The sequence below is a fragment of the Homo sapiens genome, chromosome 16, assembly GCF_000001405.40.
Source record: "Homo sapiens chromosome 16, GRCh38.p14 Primary Assembly".
In the NCBI taxonomy this organism is placed as follows: Eukaryota; Metazoa; Chordata; class Mammalia; order Primates; family Hominidae; genus Homo; species Homo sapiens.
The window spans coordinates 25236001-25261066 of NC_000016.10; the positions used below are offsets into that span (position 1 = coordinate 25236001).

Sequence of the window (25066 nt, forward strand, 5' to 3'; positions counted from 1 at the left end):
TTATGGCAGAAACCAGTGGGAGCCATTTATTTTAGACATTTATTCCACAAACAAGTTTTCAAGAAGACATCTAAGTGAACACTGATACAAAACAATGAATGGACATCCATTTGCACCAGGTCTTGGAATGCATTCAGAGGCAGAGGCTTCCAGTTTCACAAGTTACTCAGACATTCCTTTAGCCAGGGCTGCCCCAGCTCCCTCACAGCTGTCTTGTCTGTCACTGGGCGCCAGACCTCCTGACAGAGGCTTCCTTCACTTCAGCCTACCTGCCACTGGTTATCGAGGTGCTTGGGGGGTGCCTGCTGTGGACCACGAGGGACTTGCCCTTTCTCCTTCCCCAACAAGCTCCTGGGCTGAGTTTGCTGTCACAGCATCCCCTCCCTTTCCTGAAGCATGCGATGGATTTGGTATGGCCAGATGTGGCAGGCACAGGACAGCTGGGCCGGCAGCCTGGTCTTCTAACCTCTTCCGCATCTATATCACGCTCCACAGCCTCATGAAACATTAGAGCCAGAGCAACTTAGCAGTTAAGTTCAACTTCTCTTCAGATGAGGAGCCGAGGCCCAGAGAGGCTATGATGTGTCAAACAACACTCATTTAGTGACAAGATTAAAACTTGCTTCTTTCAGCTTCCAGTCTCATGCTCATTCCACCAAGGCCAGGCTGCCCTGAGCCATTTACGTGTGAGGTTTCCCTTTTTAAAAAACTGTTTCTTTCCAGATGAATGAATTAGGTTGAATGCATAATAACATCACTGGTAAGAACTGGAGGTATTTGTGGCAGTAACAAAGCAAGCCTAGGTGGGACATACGACCCCAGTTTCCAAAATGCCTTCGATAAGATGATAGTGAAAAGTTGTCAGTCTATGCTGCTTTTCAAAAACAGGATTTGACACAATTTACAAGGAAATAAGATGAAATTAAATAAATATAGGTTGGGGTAGTTGGTTGAGGTGGGCTGTAAGTTTTGTTGAACTTTCCAGCAGCCAGAACAAAGAGAGAAAAAGCAGCTTAAGTTACAAAAATCACAGTGTTTGTAATACATACATACAGATCTACACACACATGTAGACGTGTGTGTGTACACATACTGCGCTTAGGATCAGAGCTTTCCTTGGCACTGAGATCTAGATAAAAAAACCTTTTTCTATGAATCTTCATAAAGGCAATGTTATGTGATCTAAAAGACACATTGGTCAGAACATGATTATTCATTTTGACTTACATGTACCAGGTGAAAACAAATAAAATGCAGGGAGACAGGTAGTGTTGGTCTAAAATGGGGGGGAGACCTTCCATTTCTTCAGAACAAAGTTCATCAAATTAATGTAACACATGTCTAGACAGCCCATTTACAATTAGGAGTAGAGATAGGGGAACCCAAATTCCACCTCAGCTTGCTCCCAGGCATATGAGAGTTAAACAGAATCAGTTTGTCCCACTAGAGAGGGAATGGGTCTTGCTTGACCCTTTCCTGCCACTGGGGAAGGTTGAGAGATGAAGGTACAGAATATGATTCTGGGCAACTTAGCGCAACTCTTCTGCAGGGGAAGGTGATGTTCTCATGACTGAGCTCCTGGCCTTCTGTAACTGCCATGGTGTAAGTGGCCCCAACTTTTGCTGTGATGCTTCCTCTATCAAACTGTGAGTTCCTTGAGCCCAGGCACCATGCCCCTTCCTTCCTTTTTCTATCATTCACTGTGGCTAGAACATGGCCTTACATGTAACAGTGCTTCATATTTATGAATAAGTCATCTACTTTCCTGAATCATGCTTCCACATAATATCAATCCTGTGTACATATTATTAAGTGGTGATTTCTATTAATTTACATCTTCTCTAGAGCTGGAATTCCAGAACATCTACACAATATAAACACAAGCCCACTGGCACCACAAACATCTTACTGTGCTACGCACACTACCAACATGGAACTGTACTTAGCATTAGAAATCTATAACTTGGACAACACAGAAAAATCAACCTATTGAGATGTGAACAGTCATAATATTTCCAACAAATGTAAATCAGAAACATTTATCAATGTCTACCTGAGTCACCTGCCTTCCAACAGGCCACACCCTATTCTGGCACCATAAATTAGATTTCTTTCTACAGTGCCTACCCTCCTAGGTACTTTGCTGAACAAGTTTCAAAAGATTGAAACATACCAAAAGGAAAAATATCATTTCCAGATGGCTTCAAATAAGAGCATTTGACAAAGAAAGGGAGAGAGAAGAGCAAAATAATCACCCACAAACAGCCCTAACTCCGGTTCCCTTCCCATTAAACTTGTGACTTCTCCCTTGCCAAAGCAAAGCCACCCTGGGTCACCTACATACTAAGGGAATAAACGCCACTGACTCCATCCTGAAGCAACTGGCCATGGAAAATCAAATCTCTGGGTTTCATCTGTAACTTCAAAAGTCAATTAACCATCCCCCATCAGAACTTTTCCTTCAGTGTTTACTGGGTTACTGCCGGGGGTTCTCAAAGAGATTTTTCAGACAAAACAAGTAAATGAGGAAAACAAAAACGGTGTTCTGGATTTCTGGATTGAAGTTTTTATAAATGTTCCCACTTTTCACCCAGTGAGCTCTAGAGTTGTGTTAAGTTACTTGGCACACTACAGTTAGGTTTCTGATGCGGTGAACAGGGACTAGAAGCCTCAGGAAAAGAGACTGGGAGATTTAACAGCCAGACCTGAGAGCGCTGGTCTAAGCTGAGGTGGCTATCTGATCGACAGCAGGCCAAAGGAGTCCAACTGGTCTTAGAAATGCTTCAGGTGTCTATTACCTCTTCCCTATCCCCTTAAAGTTTTAGAAACACTATTATAATATTATACTGCAGTGCAGGGGTGGGAGGTACGAAATATGCCAACATGCCAGTCATGTTCTAGATAAGAGCCAGAGAAGTTAGAGGATAGAACTAGAACGCATCTGAAATCCTACTTTGCTTTAGTGAGACACACCACGAGCAGGCCTCCTATTCTATCTGAGGAGGGCATGGTAGTTCGGAAGAGGCCGGCAGGAGCACCCAGAGCAACTGAGAGGCAAGTGCAGGGCTATGAGAAACAGTAGGAGGACCTGGGATTACTTATAGGCTGGAGAAGCAGCAGCCAGGGGATTTAAGTCTTCGGGTACAGAAAAGGATGAGGGGTGATCAATTGCTTCTCACCTCCATGGAGGGCAAGGCATTAGTAACAGGATTTCAGTGACAATACAGGGATTCTGCCCTAGCTATTTGGATCAACTTCTTGACAAAAAAAAAAAAAAAGGTACACTGTAACAGACTTCTGAGGAAAGCTATAAAATCTTCACTCTTCTTTTGTGGATCTCTTCAAAACCAAGATGGATTTGATGTAGTTCCGATCAGACTCCTCAAAGTTCTATCTAAATGTGAAAATCTGTTATCAAGTTTCATCCAGGATCTCACGGAGTAGGTAATAACAACAAAAAAACTTTTGGCATTTTTTATATCCTTGAAGACAACTCTCACCCATATGGAAGATCTTGAATGTTGCCGAACTTAGCAATCCAGTTGCAGTGGCCTCAATGTACTGAAGGGTATTTCATTCTGAACTCGGACAATGTATCTTCGCCACATTCTTAAAGGAGAAGCTGAGACACACAGAAGAGGAGGAACAGACTGATGAAGTTAGAGGCAGAGGTGAGAACAGGATGAAAGTGTTTAGTTTATTTATATTCTCAAGTTTATCTTGGAAATTACACTTCATAGCTAAGAAAAGATTGCTTCCAAGAATGAGATTAGGGTAAAATGGCTAAGGGGGCATTTAGGAAGAGAAGATCATCATCAAAAAGTTTTCCTAAATTCATCAGTCTTTCCCTTATGTGGGTTCTCAGGGCAATACAGAGATGGAGGGTGTGGCAGAGGCTTTTCTCTCACATGAACTTCCCGATGTTTGGTAAGAACAGAACTCTTACTGAAACGTTTGCCACACTGGGCACATCCATAGGGCTTCTCTCCAGTGTGTATTCTCCGATGTTCTCGAAATCTCGTACAGTTATTGAAACTTTTTTCACAGTCCACACATTTGTAGGGATTCTCCCCAGTGTGAACTCTCCGGTGGGCGCTGAAATGAGAACTGTTGGTGAAACTTTTCCCACACTCTCCACACTGATAGGGCTTCTCACCGGTGTGCGTTCTCTGATGTATAATAAGACTAGAGCTCTGACTAAAGCATTTTCCACACTCTCCGCATCTGTAGGGTTTCTCTCCTGTGTGGATTCTCTGGTGGGCACCAAAATTTGAGGAGTCATTAAAGCTTTTTCCACAGTCAAGACATTTAAAAGGTTTTTCGCCTGTGTGGATTCTTTGGTGTCTGATCAGGCTCCTGCTTCTACCAAAGCACTTCCCACAGACACCACACTTGTAAGGATTCTCCTTGTGGTGGGTCATCCGGCACATCAGACGAGTGCTCCTTCCAAAGCTTTCTCCATATTTGAGAAGTCTGTAGGGTCTCTTCCCCACAAAAGGCCTCTGATGCACAACGGCTTTCCCTAAATCTCTAGGCTGAGACATCGGCTTTCCCTGTCTAATTCCTTGAAGATTTTCCCATTGTCTTCCTGAGATGCATTCCCTTTTGCGATATTTGCTGGGGTCGGTACTCTGGGAAACAACTCTTTTAGACTTTTCTATTAATGCCCTATGCTGTTCCATGTCCTTATATACTATCTGTGTTGGATCCTCCTTGATGCTACTTCCGATTTCAAAATCTGAAAAAATGAAAGACAATACAAATTTTATACAAGTCTGATATTAACCATAAACAACCTGGCTTGCAAGGCTTGATCCGCTTGCTCTCCATACACTTCTCTAACCTCAGATCCTGTGACTCTTCCCTGATTCATTCTGCTATATTTCTTTCCATTCATAAACAGGCCAATAACAGCCAGTACAGAGTAGGCCTTAAGAAATGTTTCCTGCATTATAATCCAAGCCATCATTCCCCATCCATATCCCGATTAACAAGGGTGCAACCTGGCTTATCTCCCTGAGGTTCCACTCTAATTCATCCTATTTTCATAATTTCACCTCTATACTAAAGCACACTACACCACACTGATCTCTAGATTAGATTCTGACTAAGTCCAAGTTCCTCGAGGGACTTCAGGAACTAAATTCCTCTACATATCTAATCATATCCCACCCAAGGGTACCTGTTTCTTTTCAAATGTTCTTCTCACTTTGTTTTTCAGGCTGTCCCATAAACCACACTAAATGAAATCTTAATTCTCACTGTTACCCAAATTGGATTATTTTCTCACTCTTTTCACCTACATCCCACGTTCACTACATCTTGGATCCAGATTTTCTGTTAAGTTTTCTGGACAGAGAGCATGACATGGTGAACAGAGACAAGTTTTGGAATTACACGGCTCTGAGTCTGGTCCCATCTTGGTGAGTTATTAACTGTGTGATTTTTGTATTAACTTATGGAAAATTCAAACACAGAAAAGTCTGGAGAACAGTATGTATAATGAACTCCCACAAACCACTTACCTACATTTAACTATGACCTATTCATGGCCAATCTCATTTCATTTCCACGCCCACATACTCCCTGCTCCCTCCATCCAGACTACTTTGAAGCCAATTCCAGACATCACGTTATTTCATCCATAAACATTTCACAAGCTGTGCAACTTAGGCCCAATTCAGGTTAATCCTTGTTCTTAAGCATCTGCTCTCCTGCCTTGTTTCTACTGCCAGTTTCAACATTACTTTCCTTCCACACATTCAGTAGAAACCACAGATAACTCTCAATCCCAAGTGTGGAGGCTGTGGCATGGGATGGGGAGAGGAGGGCAGCCATCAATCAATCTAGACACTTAAGTAAAAAGCCCTAACAATTCCATCTTTCACTTATTAGTACTTTTTTGGTCACCCAGGCTGGAGTGCAGTGGCATGATCATAGCTCACTGCAGCCTTGACCTCCCAGGATCAAGTGATCCTCCCACCTCAACCCCAGAAGTTGCTGGGATTACAGGTGCACACCACCACTCCCAGCTAATTTTTTATTTTTTGTAGAGATGGGGTGTATGTTGCCCAGGCTAGTCTCAAACTCCTGTGCTCAAGCGATCCTCCCACCTTGGCCTCCCAAAGTGTTAGGATTACAGGTGTGGGCCACCACACCTGGCCTGTCAGTACTTCTTTTGAAGTTTTCTGATTGAGTTCAACATTGTTCTGCGATTTGGAGGAAGTCACAACCTAGGAGTTGGCTCAGAGAAAGCTTGATAATTTGATGATAGGTTTGGAGCTCACTTTAAAAACAAGATTCACAAGGACTTTGTTTCCAGTTATCAAAGCCAGGGTTCTACAGGACTTAATTCAAGCCTTCATACTATAATTTCCCATATATATACTAAGCTAGAGTCACTTGCTTCAATAAACTAGTCCTGAATTACCCTGCATATTCAACTGATTGCCGAGGGCTTAATCTAGTGTTATGGGAAGACGGAGCTCCTGTCCTTCAGGAGCTCACCATGTCTGGGAGATCTTACATACAAAGTGTTCAGTGCCATAAGACAGAGACAGACAAAGTATGGGAGGTGAGAGAGAATTTGGACATGGAGATATGTAGAGCCAAGGACATTCAAGGTGGAGGGAACATCGCAAGCTAAAGTTTGGATGTGAAAGAGCTTGAGGTGCATGTAGGAAATAGCCAGTAGTTCCGCTCTGAATAAGCAGAGTTGAGGAAGGAAAATGCTGACATGTAGACTAGAAGAGTAAGATGAGCTCAGATCAAAAATGGCTGTGAAACCTTAATAAAAGTGTGGGTGGAGAAAACTGGTTTGGAGGCTTTTACAACAGTCTAGGCAAGAGAGAGAGAAGACTGAACTAGACAGTGGCTAATGGTAACTGAAGAGGGGACAGATAGACGTGATAGTCTGGATGAGGGCGGGAGCCCACAGGGAAGAGCCGTGGTGTGGTAAGGAAGATGGTGAAGTTAGTTTTGAACATCTTAAGCCTGAGTTACTAGTGACAGGCCCACGAGGGCGTAAGTCAGTGGGAAACATGCAGGTGGAGCTCAGGACCAGAATAAAGTCTTTTATTTAGTCTCTGCCTATCTTTTTTGTCTTGCACACCCCATATAACCATAAGATATTCTTCTTTTGTGCTTACTGAAACACTTTCTTCATCCAAGTTTTTTCTCATGTGTAATTCCAAGTTTTTCTTCCCCACGGTACTTCCAGGAGATACAAAACACTGTCTGACCCATACCAACAAAAACCAAGGCTGAGAACCCAAGGACTGAGTCACTCTAACGTGAGTTCCTCCTTTGAATAGAAGCACCATGAGAACAGGAACTTTGTTTTTTTCAGATGGAGTCTCACTCTATCACCCAGGCTGGAGTGCAATGGCACGATCTCGGCTCACTGCAACCTGCGCCTCCCAGGTTTCAAGTGATTCTCCTGCCTCAGCCTCCTGAGTAGCTGGGATTACAGGTGCCCGCCACCACACCCAGCTAATTTTTGTATTTTCAGTAGAGACAGGGTTTCGCCATGTTGGCCAGGCTGGTCTTGAACTCCTGACCCCAGGTGATCCACCCGCCTCAACCTCCCAAACTGCTAGGGTTACAGGTGTGAGCCACCATGCCAAGAACATCACTGCTATATCCCCTGTTCTTCAAGTAGCACAGGCACTCAAATATTTCTTGAATGAAGGAATATTCATGAGCTATGTGCAAGATCTACTCATTTTTCAGTAAATCACACTTATTCCTCTTTTGGACTAAAACTCCTTGGTTTTGCACCTTACCATTTGGGCTCTGCAGTAGACCTGGAGGTCCCTGGAACTCTGGCTCTTGCACAATTTCCTCCTCGCTCATTCTCTCACTGCAAGAGTCTTCTATTACTGCCTCCTGTGAGGTCTCTTCAGGTTCCCAGCCTGTAGGTTCCTGGGGTTCAACCTCAATACCCCCTCTTTCTTGCCTTGAAGGTGATGGGACTTCCTCTGGGGTGCTGGGGGAAGGAGCAGATGCCCGAGAGTTAATCAGGGCATCCATCTCCTTGTAGAACGCGCAGGACTCTAGCACGTGGCCATTTTTCACCTTGCGGTAACTCTTCTGAAGGCTTTTGAACTTGGTTCGGCACTGTTCTGGTGTCCGGAGGAAGCCGCACTCTCGAAGCTGTTCAGCTACAGCCCCATACAATTTGCTCTTCCGATGACAGGCTTGAAGCGCTTCATAAAACCGAGTCTCACGGAGGATATCAAGAAAAGTCTTGGTTTCTTCATAGCCCCAGTGCACGCCTGCCATTTGGGGATAAAGTTCACAATGTAACAAAGAAAAGGAGTCTCTAGCCTCTATACTATATACATTAAGAAATGTAGAGGTAAAAAAAAATCCCATTCACAGTGGCAACAAGAACTACATATGCCTAGGAATAAGCTTTGCAAGAAATGAGAAGGTCTATATCAAAATGTGTAATATCATAAAACTAGAAAAAATGACAAGACACTGTTTATGAATAGGAAGACTCAAGGTGTACAGATATCATTTCTCATATGAATCTATAGTCAAAATCCCATTCAGATTTTTAAAACTGAAATCGGTAAACTAATCTCAAAGCTTATTTGGAAGAATAAAAATGCAGTCCCCCAAATCTGCCATTGCTATGGTGATTAACTAAATGATTTAGTTCTCTAGAAGTCTCTTTCCAAAGTGGTTAAGAATAATGACTAGAATTTCCAATAGGAACTTTCCCCCTCAAATTTCCTACCACTTCTGTAAGCAGTCTTCCTTGAGGAGCAGAACTATGTTCAGAGTAGTTTTTGGATGTCATTGAATCCTCTACTTTGAGATGAAATGATCTGTAAGACAAGACTATGTTCTGCATTTATAGCAGAATAAAACTTTTCAGGGCATATCTAAATATAATTTGTAAAACATGCTTTTTGTATGTTTTGTAATCTATTGTAGGAAAAATCTCTATCCTCTATCTTACTAGGTGGTTTCTTCCAGGCCTATGACTGGATTCCCATATTTGAGACCACCCCAAGAGTCCCAGCCTCATGTTGATGGATTTTCAGATTGGTGAGACCTGTCTAGGCATAATGCATCTTCCCATCTTAGCAGATGTTTATTTTTTATTTTTTGAGACAGAATCTCAGTCTGTTGCCCAGGCTGGACTGCAGTGGCACAATCATGGCTCACTGAAGCCTTGAACTCCAGGGCTCAAGCGACCCTCTCGCTTCAGCCTCCTGAGTAGCTGGGACTACAGGAGTGTGCCACCATGCCTGGCTAATTGTTTTATTTTTTGTAAAGACGGAGTCTCGCTGTGTTGCCCAGCTGCTCTCAAACTCCTGGCCTCAAGGGATCCTCCCATCTCAGTCTCCTAAAGTGCTAGAATTACAGGTATGAACCACCACATCCAGCCAGATATTTCTTTTGAATGGGTTTAGTCATGGATACATTCCCTAGCCTGATTTAGTTTTCCATTCTATGTAAGAATTTATAGGCTGGGTGCGGTGGCTCATGCCTGTAATCCCAGCACTTTGGGAGGCCGAGGTGGGTGGATCATTTGAGGTTGGGAGTTTGAGACCAGCCTGACCAACATGGTGAAACCCTGTCTCTACTAAAAATATAAAAATTAGCCAGGCGTGGTGGTGGGTGCCTGTAATCCCAGCTACTTAGGAGGCTGAGGCAGGAGAATTGCTTGAACTCACCCAGGAGGAGGAGGTTGCAGTGAGCCGAGATTGCGCCACTGCACTCCAGCCTGGGTGACAGAGTGAGACACCGTCTCGGAAAAAAAAAAAAAAAAGAATTTATCTCTAGCTGGAGTAAAGAAACATTACTAATAACAGTGATACCAGGCAATGCTGTATTATATTTTAGCATTTTCACAGTGCCTTCATTTATATTATCCTATTTAACACTAATAACAACCCTATGAGGTATTCTTAGCCATATTTTACGGATGAGAAAATTGAAGCTCAAAGTAGTTACGTGATGTGTCTACTGTCACACAGTTATTAATTGGCGATTTAATTCTGCATGTCTCAGTCACAAAATATTTAACACCAGCTCTCTTTTGCATGGTGTATCTGTCTGCCTTTTTAATTTTAATGTCTCTGTATTATATTTAAGGTGGATCTCTTATAAGCAATTAATGTCTGATAATCTTAGTTCTTTAAGTTTGTAATTAATTATATATTTGGATTTATATCTTATTTTTTTCCATCTGACTCATCTATTTTGTATTCTTTTTTCTCTCCTTTGTCTTCTTTTAGATTACACAAAAAATGTTTATTTTATTTTTAATGAAAACCTGTTGAAACTGTTACAAAATTTTGTACTGGTTATTTTAGATAACGTAATAATGCATGCTTGACTTATAATGCAATACAATTGATTGCTTTATGCCAATTATCAGATAATACAAGATCCTTAGAACCCTGTAACTCCATTTGTCTTCCTTCCACAAGGACCCAAACACTCAAAATCCATGCTGTGCTCTAAAGTGAAAACGACTTCTCCACGGCCACTTGGAGCTGTTACTCTGACTGCAATGGGGGCAGCAGCAAGCACCTGAGAGTACTTCAGTGATGTGGCCACACCACAGTGAAAGTGGTGAGGTGTGTGTGACAGCACCCCCCGGGTTTGGCCACTTCTGGTCTACTCCTTTTTCCACAAGATCACACATCTGTTTTCCTACCAGAGAAACAAAGCACAATTCTTACCACTGAGATTCTGAAACAAGACAGGGGCACCATGGATTTCAGACTTGCGGATAAATTCGATGCCTATTTCATCATCATCAGAATCTTCTGCAGCTTCCTCCTCCTCCACCAAGCTGATGTGTTCCTTAGCACTGATGGCAATTCTCTTCAGTCTGGGGACAGGTATCATCTCCTTTGGTTTATCAGTGGACGGAGCACGGGCTGCAGGGTTCAACAAAGCATCCATGTCCTCAAAGAAGGCGCAGGGTTCTAGCATGTGGCCATTTCTCACCTTTCGATAGCTTTTCTGGAGACTTTTGAACTTGGTTCGACACTGTTCTGGGGTTCTAAGGAAGCCACATTCTCGCAACCATTCAGCCACAGCACCATACACTTGGCTATTTCGGGGACAGGCCTGAAGTGTTTCATAAAAGCGAGACTCTTTGAGAATTGCCAGGAAAGTCTTTGTTTCCTCATAGCTCCAATGCACACCTGCTATCTTTTCATCTTCTAAACCCCACTGCTGCTGCTCTCTCCATGTTTTTCCTGCACTCCTTGCAGGGACCTGAATAGCATGAACTGACTTTTCCTTGACGTAGTTGCTTCGTAGGATACTTCTCTTGTTAGAGGAATGCAGACCTAGAGTCCATGGCTCCTTTCTCTGTTCCAACCGGGTTATCTTGTTAGATGTAGACACTGCACTTCCTACAGTAAAATAAACATATTTCATGGTAGACATAGAAGTCATTACTGCATGCCTCAATCTTCTGCTGTCACATGCTCTCCTGGGCCACTTGTTCACACCCAAACCTTCCTCAGCTGTGACACTGCACATTTATTTTTACATGACTTCCTTGGTACAAACATCTACTAACTTACACGATCATTTTACTTCTCATATATGTACCATTTCTTTTCCTAGCTAGTTCTTACAGGAAAACCTTTAAGGGTAAGAATATATATTTTTAACCTTTGATTCTCTCTCAGTAGCCAGTGTTGTGTTAGGTTCAGGGTATGCTCCTACTCAGTATTTGTTACTTGTAAAATAAAGTGTATCTTTTCCCCACATTCCCCTCCATGCCCACCCCAACATACATAACATACATACATATATAGGCACTGGGACTATAAGAGAAAAGAAGCCAAGAATTTTTTGTTAAACTATATTACAAAGCCACAGTAATCAAAACAGTATGGTACTGGTATGAAAACAGACACAAAGACCAGTAGAACAGAATAGAGAGCATAGAAGGAAGTCCACACATGTATAGCTAAATAATCTTTGACAGAGTGCCAAGAACACATCACTGGGAAAAGATCATCTTTTCAACAAATGGTGCTCGGAAAACTGGATATCCAGATACAAAAGAGTGAAACTGGACCCCTGTCTTACACGACTCACAAAAATGAACTCAAAATGGATTAAGCCTTAAATATAAGACCTGAAACCATAAATCTCCTAGAAGAAAACACAGGGGACAAAGCTCCTTGACACTGGTCTGGGCAATAATTTTTTTGGATATGACATCAAAGCACAGGCAATGAAAGTAAAAATAAATGAGTGGGACTACATCAAACTACAAAGCTTCTATACAGCAAAAAAAAAAAAAAAAAAAAAAAAATCTAATCCAAAACAACAACAAAAACAGTCAACAAAGTGATGAAAAAATCTATGGAATAGAAAAAAAGATTTGCAAACCACTCATCTGCTAAGGGGTCAATAACTAAAATATACAAGGAACTCCTACAATTCAATAGCAAAATAACAACAAACCAAACAAATAATCTCATTAAAAAATAAGCCAAGGATATGAATGGACATCTTCCCAAAGAAGACATACAAATGGCAGATAGGTACATGAAAAGGTGCTCAACATTGCTAATCATCAGGGAAATGCAAATCAAAGCCACAATGAGGTATCATTTCATACCTTTCAGAATGGCTATCATCAATGAGACAAAAATAAGAAGTGTTGGTGAGAAGAAAATGAAACCTCTGAATACTGTTGGCAGAGCTGTGAATTGGGAAGAGTCATTATGGAAAACAGTACAGAGGTTCCATAGAGAACTAAAAATAGAATTACCATATGATCCAGCAATCCTGCTACTGGGTATATATGCAAAAATATTAAAATCAGTAGGCCAAAGAGGCACTACCATGTTCACTGCAGCATTATTCACATACAGCTAAGATACGGAAGCAACCAGGAGGCTGAATGGATAAAGAAAATGTGGTCTATATACACAAAGGAATATTATTCTGCCTTAAAAAAGAAGAAAATTCTGCCTTTTGCAACAACATGGACGAACATGGAGAACATTATGTTAACTAAGGTAAGCCAGGCACAGAAAAGACATATATCACATGACCTCACTTTTTTGGCAGTATCTAAAAATGTCCAACTCATAGAAGTAGAGAGTAGAAGATGGTTACCAGAAGCTGGGGGAGGAGGAGGGAAGATGGGGAAAGTGGAGATTTGATCAAAGGGTACAAAATTTCAGTTAGATGGGAGGAATAAACTTTAGTAATCTATTATATAAATTTAGTAATCTATTATATAGTGACTATAATATGTAGTAATGCTTTGTCTATTTCAAAATTCCTAGAAGAGTAGATTTTCTTTTATTTTTGAGACAGAGTGAGCCCAGGCTGGAATGCAGTGGCACGATCTCGACTTGCCTCTGCCTCCTGGGTTCAACAGATTCTCCTGCCTCAGACTCCCAAGTAGCTGGGATTACAGGCACCCACCACCACACCTGGCTAATTTTTGTATTTTTAGTAGAGATGGGGTTTTACTATGTTGGCCAGGCTTGTCTTGAACTCCTGACCTTGTGATCCGCCCACCTCAGCCTCCCAAAGTTCTGGGATTACAGGCATGAGCCACCATGCCCTGCCTAGGTGATGGATTTGTTAATTAGCTGATTTAATCACTCCCCAACGAAAACATGTATCAAAACATCACATTGTACCCCATAAATATACACAATTATTATCTGTCAATTAAAAAAAGACAAATGATAACAAGGTTGTGGAGAAAAGGGAATGGTCATGCACTATTGGTGGGAATGTAAACAGGTACAGCCATTATGGAAAACATTAGGGAGGCTCCTCAAAAAATCAGAACTACAATATGATCCAGCAATCCCACTTATGGTACATATCCCAAGGAGACAAAATCAGCATCTTGAAGAGATAGCTGTACTCCCGTGCTCAATGAAGCATTATTCACAATAGTCCAGACATGGAAACAACCCAAGTACCTCCTGATGAATGAATATTGAAAATGTGAAAATATAGGAAAAAAAATATAATGGAGTACTAGCCAGTCATAAAAAAGAAGGAGCCTGGGCGCAGTGGCTCACACCTGTAATCCCAGCACTTTGGGAGGCCAAGGTAGGTGGATCACAAGGTCAGGAGTTCGAGACCAACCTGGCCAATATGGTGAAACCCCGTCTCTACTAAAAATACAAAAATTAGCCGGGCATGGTGGCATGCACCTGTAGTTCCAGCTACTCGGGAGGCTGAGGCAGGAGAATCGCTTGAACCCAGGAGGCAGAGGTTGCAGCGAGCCGAGATTGCACCACTGCACTCCAGCCTGGGTGAGAGCAAAACTCTGTCTCAAAAAAAAAAAGAAGGAAATCCTGCCATTTGTGACAACACTTGGAGGGCATTGTGCTAAGTGAAATAAACCAGACAGAGGAACACAAATATGATCTCACTTACATGTGGCATCTAAAATGCTGAACTTAGAGAAAGTGAGAAGAGAACAGTGGTTGCCAGGGGCTTGGGTAAGGGGAGATGATGGTCAAAGCGTATAAGCTTTCAGTTATAAGATTAAAAAATTCTAATGTATACAGCATGATGGTTACAGTTAATAATATTATAGTGTATACTTGAAATTTGCTGAGAGTGTAGATCTTAAGTGTTCTCAACACACACATACATAACTATGTAAGGTGATGGATGTGTTAACTCAAATGTGGTAATTATTTTACAATGTATATGTACATAAAATCATCAAGTTGCAATATGACATTCTTAAATATACACAATTTTATTTGCATATATATACATATATGTAGTTTTTGAGATGGAGTTTTGCTCTTGTTGCCCATGCTGGAGTGCAATGGTGTGATCTTGGCTCATTGCAATCTCCGCCTCCTGGGTTCAAGCTATTCTCCTGCCTCAGCCTCCCAAGTAGCTGGGATTACAGGCATGTTCCACCATGTCCAGCTAATTTTGTATTTTTAGTACAGATGGGGTTTCACCATGTTGGTCATGCTGGTGTTGAACTCCTGACCTCAGGTGATCTGTCTGCTTTGACTTCCCAAAGTGCTGGGATTACAGGCATGAGCCACTGTGCCTGGCCTTATTTACATATATTTAATAAATAAATATTAAATTTATTTGTACCCCAATAAAGTCGAAAAAAATTTGGTAGAAGAACCTAATTTCCAAACAAAACTTACAGGAACCCACAAATACATATATCAAAGAAATAAAATTGAGTTGTTTTGCTTAAGGAGGTTGAGGGTAGGTGGGCAAAAAAAAGCCTTATATCTTATTATAGCTTTGTGGTCCTGAGACACGTCAAAGATGTCTTTCTCCTCAAAAGAGTCTGAAATCTACTTTTCTATTACATGAAGGGGAAAAATAATCTGTGACTTCACATTTGAAAATTATTGGTACAGATATATTTTCGTAAGTATTTATTGAAAACAAAATATTTCATTAATAAAATATTTCATTAATTAAAAAAAACTTCTGAAGACATTTTGGTGAGGTTAATAGGAAAGAGCTGTTAAGAACAGAAAGCAAATTGAGAATTTGCCAGCTTATGATACAAAAGAGATGAACATGTCGTAATTTGAATCCTAGCTACATTGCTTACTTTACTTTGACCAGGGGAAGTTTCTTAAGCTCTCTAAGCCTCAGTTTCCTAAGGAATAATACCATTTACTGTACTACACCATTTTATGTAATACAAATATGATAGTCATATGTAACTCCTCTCCAATGTTTTAATCACTAAATTATTATTATTATTTTTTTACTGGAAGGAGGAGTGGGTGAGGGAAGAGAACCTGGCTAAGTGATTACACTAGACAATCCTTAGAGATCCTTTAAGTGTTAACATTTCTATCTGCCTATCTTCTAATCAGTAGAAATGAATACATTAGAAAGCTCCAAGTCTTATATTTGGAAAGGGAAGGAATCCTTACCCAGGGAGACCACGTTCCCAACATTCTCCTTCCTGAAATCCCGGTAGAGGTCCCTTTGGGCAGGAATCTGATGCACACTCTTTCTGTAGGAAAAGCCTCTGGCCACGTGGACATCTTTCACTGGTTCCTGTAATGACACTAACACCAATGACTACCAAGATAACTGCACAGGTCTTCAAAGGATGAGCAATCACAGATGAGGCAGAGAAGAACCCTAAAGAACTGAAATCAAGGAACAAGTGGATAGTTTGCGCCAAATGAAGCAGAAGAGAAAGAATCATAAGATGACAAGATAAACAAGATGATCCAGCAAGGAGTCTCATTACTCAGAAGACTGGGTCCCATCTTTTCAGGAAAAGGAATAAGGGGGAAATATACTTATACACTTGTGAGGACTATAAGTGTATTTACAGTAAGTAAAGTAAGTATATTTAAAGTAAGTATAAGTAAAGGAATAAGGGGGAAATATACTCTTGTGGGGAGTATATTTAAGGTAAGTAAAGTAATTATATTTAAAGTAAGTATAAGTAAAGGAATAGGGGGAAATATACTTTTATACTCTTGTGGGGAGTATAAGTATATTTAAAGTAAGTATAAGTAAAGGACTAAGGGGGAAATACACTTTTATACTCTTGACGGGAGTATAAAAATTTGAGGACAGTGAAGGCACAGAAAGCATTGCGCCTAAACACCCTAGTAAGGAAGGCCAGAGAAGATAATTACGGCAGGGCATGGTAGCTCACACCTGTAATCCCAGCACTTTGGGAGGCCGGGTCGGGCGGGTCACTTGAAGTCAGGAGTTTGAGACCAGCCTAGGCAACATGGTGAAACCCTGTCTCTACTAAAAATACTAAAACTTAGCCAGGTGTGGTGGCATGCACCTGTGGTCCCAGCTACTCAGGAGGCTGAGGCAGGAGAATCGCTTGAACCCAGGAGGCAGAGGTGGTTGCAGTGAGCTGAGATTGCGCCACTGTACTCCACCGTGGGTGACAGAGTGAGACTCCATCTCAAAGAAAAAAAAGACAATTACAATGTACCTGGGACCCAGCAGGAAGCCGTGTGGTTGTCACTTCCTGATCTAGGGTATTCCATTCATCAGCAAGGGCAGGAACCCAGGGAGAAGGCCGAGCTGTAAGAATAGAAAGAAACGATTAGTAATCTGGGCTTTGACCCTTTAATTCATGCTGTCTCTCTTTTTAAGAGATGAGTATGTATTGAAACACCAACAAATATAAATTCACCATTTTATCTGTGAGTTCAGAACAATCCCCAAAAACACAGTACCCTAAAGCTGGGATCACAGCCTCAAATGCTTTCCGGGGGTAAGCAAGTAAATACAGGATGAAGGGGACCAGGTAAGGACTGTGGGAACTGGAGAGCACACATCTGATTGAAAGGGCACTGCCAATGCCAATGCTCAGGTCCCGCTCATGTCTCAGTGTGAGACTATGGCTGTGGTACCTTCCCTCCTTCCCTACCCCCTTTCCCTTCCCCAGCCTTCCTTTCCCCCTCCCTTCCCTTTTCTCCCTTCCTCTCTCTCTCTCTCTCTCTCTCTCTGTCTCTCTCAATCATGGACATTTGCAATGCATTCCATCATAATATAAATTTGGGGAGGCATAAAACAGTATAGTAGTACTGAATCTTGCCTCTCAGTGAAGGGCTGGGTAAATCAGACAGACTTGAGGTTTAAAAATAATTGTGCCATTCTGGGGGAAAGGAAACTAGCATTTATTGAGCACTATTATGCACTGGCTCCTTCATGCTGCCGCATTTAATCTGCACAAATAGCCTTGCTATTTCCCTCTTAAAGATGAGAGGACTGGGTGTGGTGGCTCACGCCTGTAATCCCAGCACTTTGGGAGGCCAAGGCGGGCAGATCACCTAACGTGAGGAGTTCAAGACCAGCCTGGTCAACATGGTGAAACCCCATCTCTACTAAAAATACAAAAATTAGCCAGGCATGATGGCACACGCCTGTAATCCCAGCTACTCGAGAGACTGAGGCACGAGAATTGCTGGAACCTGGGAGGCGGAGGTTGCTGTGAGCTGAGATCGTGCCACTGCACGCTAACCTGGAACAAGACTCCACCTCAAAGAAAAAATAAAATAAAATAAAATAAAATAAAGATGAGAGAATGGAAAGCTTGAGAAGTTAAGTATCCTGACCAAGGCCACATAGATAAAAAAATGGCAGAGCTAGGTTTTGAATCTAGGTCTGTCTGTCTCTAAAGCCTAAGCTCTTAGCCTCTGTGCATTCATGCGTCTTTTCATATTATTTGCCCAAGATCACAGACAGAAGGTGGCAGAGACAAGATATAAACAGAAGACTTCTGACGGCAGGTTTAGTGATGTTTCCATTCCTCTCTTTAAGACTGAGATGAAGCCACACTTCAGGAGATGGAGAGATCACTGTGGACTGGGAAGGACAGGGTATTCATTTCCTAGCATTTGACCTGAGTCATTAATGTGCAGGGCAGCTATGAATGTCAGTGGTCCCTTCCCTGTGAAATCTTAACTGTTTATCTCTCTTGTATGCCACTTCTGTGATGGCCTGTGAGTCAAACTTTGAACACAAATGCCTTGTTCCCTTTCAAACAGCTTTTTGACTTATTTATAGTCAGCCAAGAGCACATACACATGGCAGGACTGAAAAACACATGATGATTGTAGAATGTAGATCTTATTTTATTTTTTTGTAGAGAAAATGTGTTTGTCTCGCTATCTTGCCCAGGCTGGTCTTGAACTCCTGGCTTCAAGAGATCCGCCTGCCTCGGCCTCCCAAAGTGTTGGGATTACGACGTGAGTCACTGTGTCCAGCCATGGAGAGTTTACCACCACAGGATCTCATAGCTGGCCCAGGCAATCTAAGTTTCCCCAGTTTGGATCTTTTTTTTTTTTTTTTTGAGACAGGGTCTCGCTCTGTCACCCAGGCTGGAATACAGTGGTGTGATCACGGCTTACTGCAGCCTCAACCTCCTGGGTTCAAGCAATCCTCCTGACTCAGCCTCCTGAGTAGCTGAGACCACAGGTGCACGCCAACACACCTGGCTAATATTTTTTTTTTTTTTGCGATTTTGTAGAGACTGGGTTTTCCCATGTTGCCCAGACTCAGTTTCCATCTTTATGATACCTTTTCACTTATATTGCACATGTTCCTAATTCTTGAAGTGAATGAAACCTTTCTCCTATTCTGAATATGTATCAAGGAGGCCCTCCACTGCACATTCACAGCGTTGGGGTACTGCGGAAATCTGCCCCAGCCTCTGCACTAGGCGTGCTCCGAGTCTTCCCTCTTACCATTCTTGGGTAAGGGCCGACGTTCTCGCTTTCGGTTCAGCTGTTCCTGGTGTCCTGAGTGGAGGCTTCCAGGTTCCTCCCGAGACACCGCCCTGGGTTGGGTCTCCACCTGCTCTGGCTGGAAGTCTGCCACCTCCCACGCTGCTCCAAGTGGGGAGTGCTTCTCCCGGTGCACGGGACTGCTGACCTGAGAAATGAAGTCAATACCATAAGAGGGAGTAAAACAGGCCCATATCAGGGCGAAATTCTCCCAGGAAAGACATCAAAGAAGGACAGAGACATGAGAAGGAATGAAAATTCCACTCCATTCCCAGTGGAGTCTCTGAGAGCGCTGGGCTGAGAGTACTGTCCAGCAGTCTGGGTGTAAGGTAACAGAACAGTGTTCTTTTTTCTGAGACAGAGTTTCACTTTTGTTGCCCAGGCTGGAGTGCAATGGCACGATCTTGGCTCACTGCAACCTCCACCTCCCAGGTTCAAGCGATTCTCCTCTCTCAGCCTCCCAAGTAGCTGGGATTACAGGCATGCACCAACACAACCGGCTAATTTTATATTTTTTTAGTAGAGATGGGGTTTCATTATGTTGGTCAGGCTGGTCTCGAATTCCTGACCTCAGGTGATCAACATGCCTCGGCCTCCCAAAGTGCTGGGATTACAGATGTGAGCCACCGCGCCTGGCCAGAATAATATTTAATACTAAACAGAGAAGGAAATCTGTCAGGAGTGAAAGAGCCTCCTTGTTGCTAGAATAGATATTATTTGACTCTATATCTGTTACGTTCGCAAAGAAGTTACCAGGACATGAATATATACAGTAGTGAAATGAAAACTTACAAAATTAATATCCACATCTATCTGTCTATCCCTGACCAATACAGCAACCTGCTGATAGATCTCTACACAATGCAAGTCTGATGCAAGGTGAAACCGCAAATCTTGCAAATGCTGCAGGATTTCACGAGGTTCATGAAAGTGAGGTTGAAGAACAACTAGAAGAGCATGCAAGCCACTGAGAAATGAAGATGTGGCAGTTAGACTGGAGGAGAGTGACAGAAATGAAGGCATGAGAGCACTTCAGAAGACACTGAGTGCAACAGTAAAACGCTTGGAGACGGCTCTGGGATAACGGATGAAGTCTTTTTTTTTTTTTTTTAAAGGGGGAACAGAATAGCCTTTTTTGATCAAAATGCGTAAGTGAACCTCTGTGACGCAAAACCATATTGTTCTCTTATATTGTTTTGTTGCAAACATTATGCCAAAGATGACGATAAATGCTTAGGTGAATAATGTCTGGTTTCCATTGTAAGATAATATTTCAATCAAAGCTTTTATTTTTCTATTTCATGTGAAATTCTGATCCCCTTTTAAGTGGATTCACTTAAAGTGAAAAGACCCCCTTATAGGGTCTTTTATTAGTACCATTTATCTTTCTCTGAAGAGCACGTCTTTCTGCAATACATCCCTGCCCACATGCCTTTCCCATTCCCTTTTTTCTAAGTACAAAAATTTGGAAAATCCTCTCTCACCTGCTGTCTTAGTCTTCCAGTCTCTTTCTCCAAATGCACTACCAGGGCCACCGCTTCCTCTCCACTTTGCGGACACTGCTTCTGTGCCCAAGCCTGAATCTTCTCGGGTAAAATGGTGAGAAACTGCTCAATCACCAGCAGCTCAAGTATTTGCTCCTTGGAACGCATTTCTGGCTTCAGCCACCGGCAGCAAAGTTCCCAGAGTTTACTGAAAGCTTCATGGGGTCCAGTCACATCCTCATAACAGAATTGCCTGAAGCATTTGCGGAAGGTCTCAGAGCTATCCGATCCTTCCAGAATGGGCTCTGATGCCCACTCAGGGTCCTTTTCCACCTTCATTATTAGGCATCCCTCAACCTCCAGGGGCGCGTCGATCTGAGAGTCGAGGGCGACAGCCATGCTGCAGCCCAGGGGTCAACTTCACGTCTAGCTCAAGGTGGGGACCCAAAGAAGACTCCAAGCGCTCCCTGCTTAATGTTCCTGGGAGTGTGATAAGGTACGGAGGTAAAAACGGCCAGGTCGGCAGGAACAGGGTATTCCAGGCTGATTAATCAAATCTATGCCAGGCCCTTGAAAAGGTGAACGTATACTCTAAGATGCAAAAGCCTGGCCTCTTCTCCAAACAAGATGTGACCGCGCAATGTGGTTTTCCAGAGTGCATCCCTCTTAGTGCAAAGTCGGAAACCGGGAGGCTGGACGACTGGGAGAAAAATGAAGCAGGCTGAGGAAAGGCTGGGCGGAGGCGGACAGCCGGGCCGGGAGGGGGTGTGTCCGCTACTCCCGGGTCGGGCGCGGAGAGGCGAGTCCCCGAGTGGGTGGGGCCGGATGTGCAGGCCCCGCCCGGCGCCAGGTTCCGGGCTCGGGTCACCGCAGCACGTCCAGGCCGCCGCGGGTGCCGCTGGGGCCGCCGGATTCCGAGAGCGGCGCCGGGCTCTTTCGGGCCCACGACGGCCCCGACCGTCCTGAGGAAACCGCTGCCGCCGAGGAAAGGCCGCAAAAACTGTTCCGCCCGGAAGGGAGAAGAGCTGCGGGGCGAAGCCAGGGCTCGCAGGGGGCAGCGGCAGGCTGCTCGCGTTCGGCCTCGTCCACTCGGCCCGCGGAGAGCGCGGGGGGCGCTGGGAACCGCAGTCACGCATGCGCCGCCTGCCACCGAGCGCCGCGGGGCCCGCGCGAGGCGTCCTGGCGGGCGAGGGGCTGGGGGAGGGGGGGGGGGCCGTGCGGTGGACTCTCGCGAGAGCGCGCGGCGCGGTGACTCGTCGCTGAGGGACTTTAAGATTGTAGAGGGGCGCGGAGGGTCCTCCCCGGGGCGGAGGGACACAGAGGGATTCTAGGGAACCTGCCGTCGCGAGTCCCGCTTCAGGCGGAGAATCTAGGCGGCGGCGGGGCCTCCCTGAGGCGGAGGAGTCGGCACCGGGGCCTGGCTGCCGGGGAAGGAGAGCACGGGAGCGGGGACTCCTGTGTCTGGCGGAGGGACACGGCGTTCCGGTGGAGGGATCTGTTCCTTGTACCTGGTCCAGGGTTGCGGTCGGGGATGGAGCGGTTACCCCGACCCTGCGGGACCTTCTTCCTCTGGCGGAGGTGCACGGCGCGGCGTGGTGTTTTTCTGGCGGAAGTATCTGTGCGTGGCCCCAGGCCCTTCCCGGCGCGGTCTCATCTGGGGCCACTTGTTGGCCCTCGCGTTGGGGAGGTTCATGTGGTGCATCCTGATGAGAAGGGGGGTCACAGGGGTCTCGGGGCCAGGGTTCAGCCAGCCAGGCCCCAGCTTGCTCTCTTCTGGTGCTGCCCCTGTCCCTGAATTCATAGACCCGGCTTTCCCTCTCTTGAGCACCTACTATGTGCCAGGCTGCGCTTTGCGCATGTAGCAGAGGCAACAGTGTCACCTGGGAAGCTGGTTTCCCCCAAAGGAACTCTTGTCTGTCCGTTGTTGCAGAGCCAGCGCATGAGACCAAGTGTGAGTATCAGGCAGTGCAGCCTTCATTCAGTGGCCATGGAATTGGAGAAGTGGGAGGGTAGCTCGCAAATCAAGCTCTCAGCTCTTGGAAACTGAGAAGTTACAGGTAATAGGGAGTGTTGACGAAAAGTAAAACCGTGCAAAATATTTGAAGAGATTTATTGTGAGCCAAATACGAGTAACCACAGCCTGTGATACAGCCCTCTCGAGGCCCTGAGAACATGTGCCCAAGGTGGTCGGGGTGCAGCTTGGTTTTATGTTTTAGGTTGGCATGAGACATCAGTCAAATACATTAAATACATTGGTTTGGTCCAGGAAGGCGGGACAACGCAAAGGGGTGGGGGTGGGGGCTTCCAGGCTATAGGTAAATTTAAATATTTTCTAGTTGACAATTGGTTGAGTTTGTCTGAAGACCTGGGATTGATAGAAAGGAAGTGTTCAGGTTAAGATAAAAGATAGTGGAGACTAAGGTTCTTTTGAAGTCTTATGGTGGCTGCTCTTAGAGATAATAGATGACAAATGTTTCCTATTCAGATCTTCAAAAGGTGTTAGACTTTTAGTTAATCCGTTTAGGATTGGGAGGGCCTGGAAGAAAAACATCTAGCTATGTTAATAGATGTTCTTTACAGATGCACATTTTACCCCACAAAGGATAGCTTTTGGGGGAAAATGCTGTCCTTTATGGAAGAAATTGCAAAATAGGGCAAGGAAACATGTTTTGGGGTAAAATATTTTGACTTTCTTTTTGTCACGTAATGTTATGCCAGAGTCAGAATGGAAAGTAAGTCATCATATATAGGATTAAATAAAACCCATCTGATGAGAATTTATGGTTTGTAGGTCATGACTCCCCAGATCCCTTAGATAGGAATTTGGGCAGGATTAAAAAAATCAAGAGTTTAGGCTGGTCGTGGTGGCTCACGCCTATAATCCCAGCATTTTGGGAGGCCAAGGCAGGTGGATCGCTTGAGGTCAGAAGTTTAAGACCAGCCTGGCCAACATGGCGAAACCCCGTCTCTACTAAAAATACAAAAATTAGCTGGGCATGGTGGCACACGCCTGTGATTCTAGCTGATTGGGAGGCTGAGGCATGAGACTCAACTTGAACCCGGGAGGCGGAGGTTGCAATGAGCTGAGATTGTGCCACTGCACTCCAGCTTGGTTGACAAAGTGAGACTCTGTGTCAAAAACAAAACAAAACAGAAAAAAAAAACAAAAGAATCAGAGCTTAGTCGTCAGGTGTCCTTAATGAAGGGGCTGGGCATTAAGAGCAAGGCGAGGAGGCAGAAGGAAAGCTTGAGCCCAGGAATTGGAGACCAGCTTGGGCAACATGGTAAGACCCTGTCTCTAAAAAAAATAAAAATTAAGAACAAGAGGAGGAATATTCATGTTTTTTCTTGGGAAGGGAGGTAGATTTTCCTGGAATCAAGGAGCTGCCCCTTTTTTTGTCCTTTTTTTGGTCTCTTCGGGTCATCACGGTGATTGTCAACTGTCATGGCAACCAGTGGGAATGTCATTTAGTACTGAAGTTGGATTAGAATGAAGCTAGAGGTTCTTCAGAGGTCGAGTAAGCTAAGAAGGAACCTATGACCACAGACAACCTGTTTTCTAAAAATAAGCAGAGTTAAATCTGAGTAGGAATTTAGCTATGTCATGGAGGCATTGCATTGGGTAACAAAAGCCAGGTAGGCGTCCAGCTAAGTCCCCTAGGCCCTGCAACGGGTAACAGCAGTACTGACTCTATGTTAGAGAAAAGCTTGCTTGCTTGAGTATAATTATTGTTTTGCCTGAGTTTGTAAACTATTCACTAAAAACAGCCACAGAAAAAAACAGGACCTTCTTCAACAGATAAAACACACAGACCCGCAGCTTTGGGAACAGGCTGATGGCCCCTGCACAGTCTAGTCACAAGGCATTGACCAAGAAAGTAATGACTAACTGCCCATCTGAGACTGCGCATGATTCACAAGAATGTTTCTTTGTTTTGTTTTTTGAGACAGTCTTGGTCTGTCTCCCAGGCTGGAGTGCAGTGATGTTGGTTCGCTGTAGCCTCTGCCTCCTGAGTAGCTGGGACTACAGGCGTGTGCCACCGCACCTGGCTAATTTTTGTATTTTTAGTAGAGATGATGTTTGACTATGTTGGCCAGGATGGTCTCGAACTCCTGACCTCAAGTGATCCACCTGCCTCGGCCTCCCAAATTGCTGGGGTTACAAGTATGAGCCACCGCTCCTGGCCCACAAGAATGTTTTGATCATTATTTCTCCTAATTTTCCTTAAAATCCCTGGATCTAGAGGCACAACTGAGAAAGGTGGTCTTTGAATGCTAGTGCACTGCCTTTTGCAGGTTGCTGGTTTCTCGAATAAAGCTAACTTTGCTTTCACCAAA

General features: G+C 43.9%; 1 protein-coding gene and 1 long non-coding RNA gene across 3 annotated transcripts, besides 5 other annotated features; one reads left to right on the forward strand and one right to left on the reverse strand.

Annotated features, from left to right (window-relative positions):
• On the reverse strand, positions 1-21845 carry ZKSCAN2 (zinc finger with KRAB and SCAN domains 2). Of its 2 annotated transcripts, NM_001012981.5 has the most exons (7): positions 20729-21845; positions 19206-19392; positions 16946-17037; positions 15909-16035; positions 10707-11390; positions 7785-8276; positions 1-4738 (listed from the first exon to the last, which is right to left on the reverse strand). In NM_001012981.5, the coding sequence occupies exons 1-7, from the start codon at positions 21125-21127 to the stop codon at positions 3816-3818; spliced, it is 2904 nt and encodes a 967-aa protein (NP_001012999.3). In that variant the 5' UTR covers positions 21128-21845; the 3' UTR covers positions 1-3815. The 2 variants fall into 2 exon arrangements, with proteins under 2 accessions (NP_001012999.3, XP_016878689.1); XM_017023200.3 differs by lacking the exon at positions 20729-21845 and having other exon boundaries at positions 15909-16046; positions 19206-19307.
• Positions 21211-21771: an enhancer, noted in NCBI's record as "H3K27ac hESC enhancer chr16:25268532-25269092 (GRCh37/hg19 assembly coordinates)". NCBI's record gives its function as "activates a minimal SCP1, AML or CMV promoter by ChIP-STARR-seq in primed H9 embryonic stem cells {active_cell/tissue: H9 hESC(primed)}" and the evidence as "EXISTENCE:reporter gene assay evidence [ECO:0000049][PMID:30033119]".
• Positions 21457-21696: a silencer, noted in NCBI's record as "silent region_7295". NCBI's record gives its function as "represses an Ori minimal core promoter by ATAC-STARR-seq in GM12878 lymphoblastoid cells {active_cell/tissue: GM12878}" and the evidence as "EXISTENCE:reporter gene assay evidence [ECO:0000049][PMID:35858748]".
• On the forward strand, positions 21577-25066 carry ZKSCAN2-DT (ZKSCAN2 divergent transcript). The gene has a single exon (NR_170220.1). It is a non-coding gene; the product is annotated as a ZKSCAN2 divergent transcript (long non-coding RNA).
• Positions 21777-21976: a silencer, noted in NCBI's record as "silent region_7296". NCBI's record gives its function as "represses an Ori minimal core promoter by ATAC-STARR-seq in GM12878 lymphoblastoid cells {active_cell/tissue: GM12878}" and the evidence as "EXISTENCE:reporter gene assay evidence [ECO:0000049][PMID:35858748]".
• Positions 22187-22506: an enhancer, noted in NCBI's record as "active region_10607". NCBI's record gives its function as "activates an Ori minimal core promoter by ATAC-STARR-seq in GM12878 lymphoblastoid cells {active_cell/tissue: GM12878}" and the evidence as "EXISTENCE:reporter gene assay evidence [ECO:0000049][PMID:35858748]".
• Positions 22627-22706: an enhancer, noted in NCBI's record as "active region_10608". NCBI's record gives its function as "activates an Ori minimal core promoter by ATAC-STARR-seq in GM12878 lymphoblastoid cells {active_cell/tissue: GM12878}" and the evidence as "EXISTENCE:reporter gene assay evidence [ECO:0000049][PMID:35858748]".

Coding starts and splice junctions, on each gene's coding strand:
- ZKSCAN2 (NM_001012981.5), bottom strand. CDS start 21,127: ATGGCTGTCGCCCTCGACTCTCAGATCGACGCGCCCCTGGAGGTTGAG. Junction 19,393..20,728: donor CTGGAAGACTAAGACAGCAG/GTGAGAGAGGAT, acceptor TTCATTTCTCAG/GTCAGCAGTCCCGTGCACCG. Junction 17,038..19,205: donor TCGGCCCTTACCCAAGAATG/GTAAGAGGGAAG, acceptor CTATTCTTACAG/CTCGGCCTTCTCCCTGGGTT.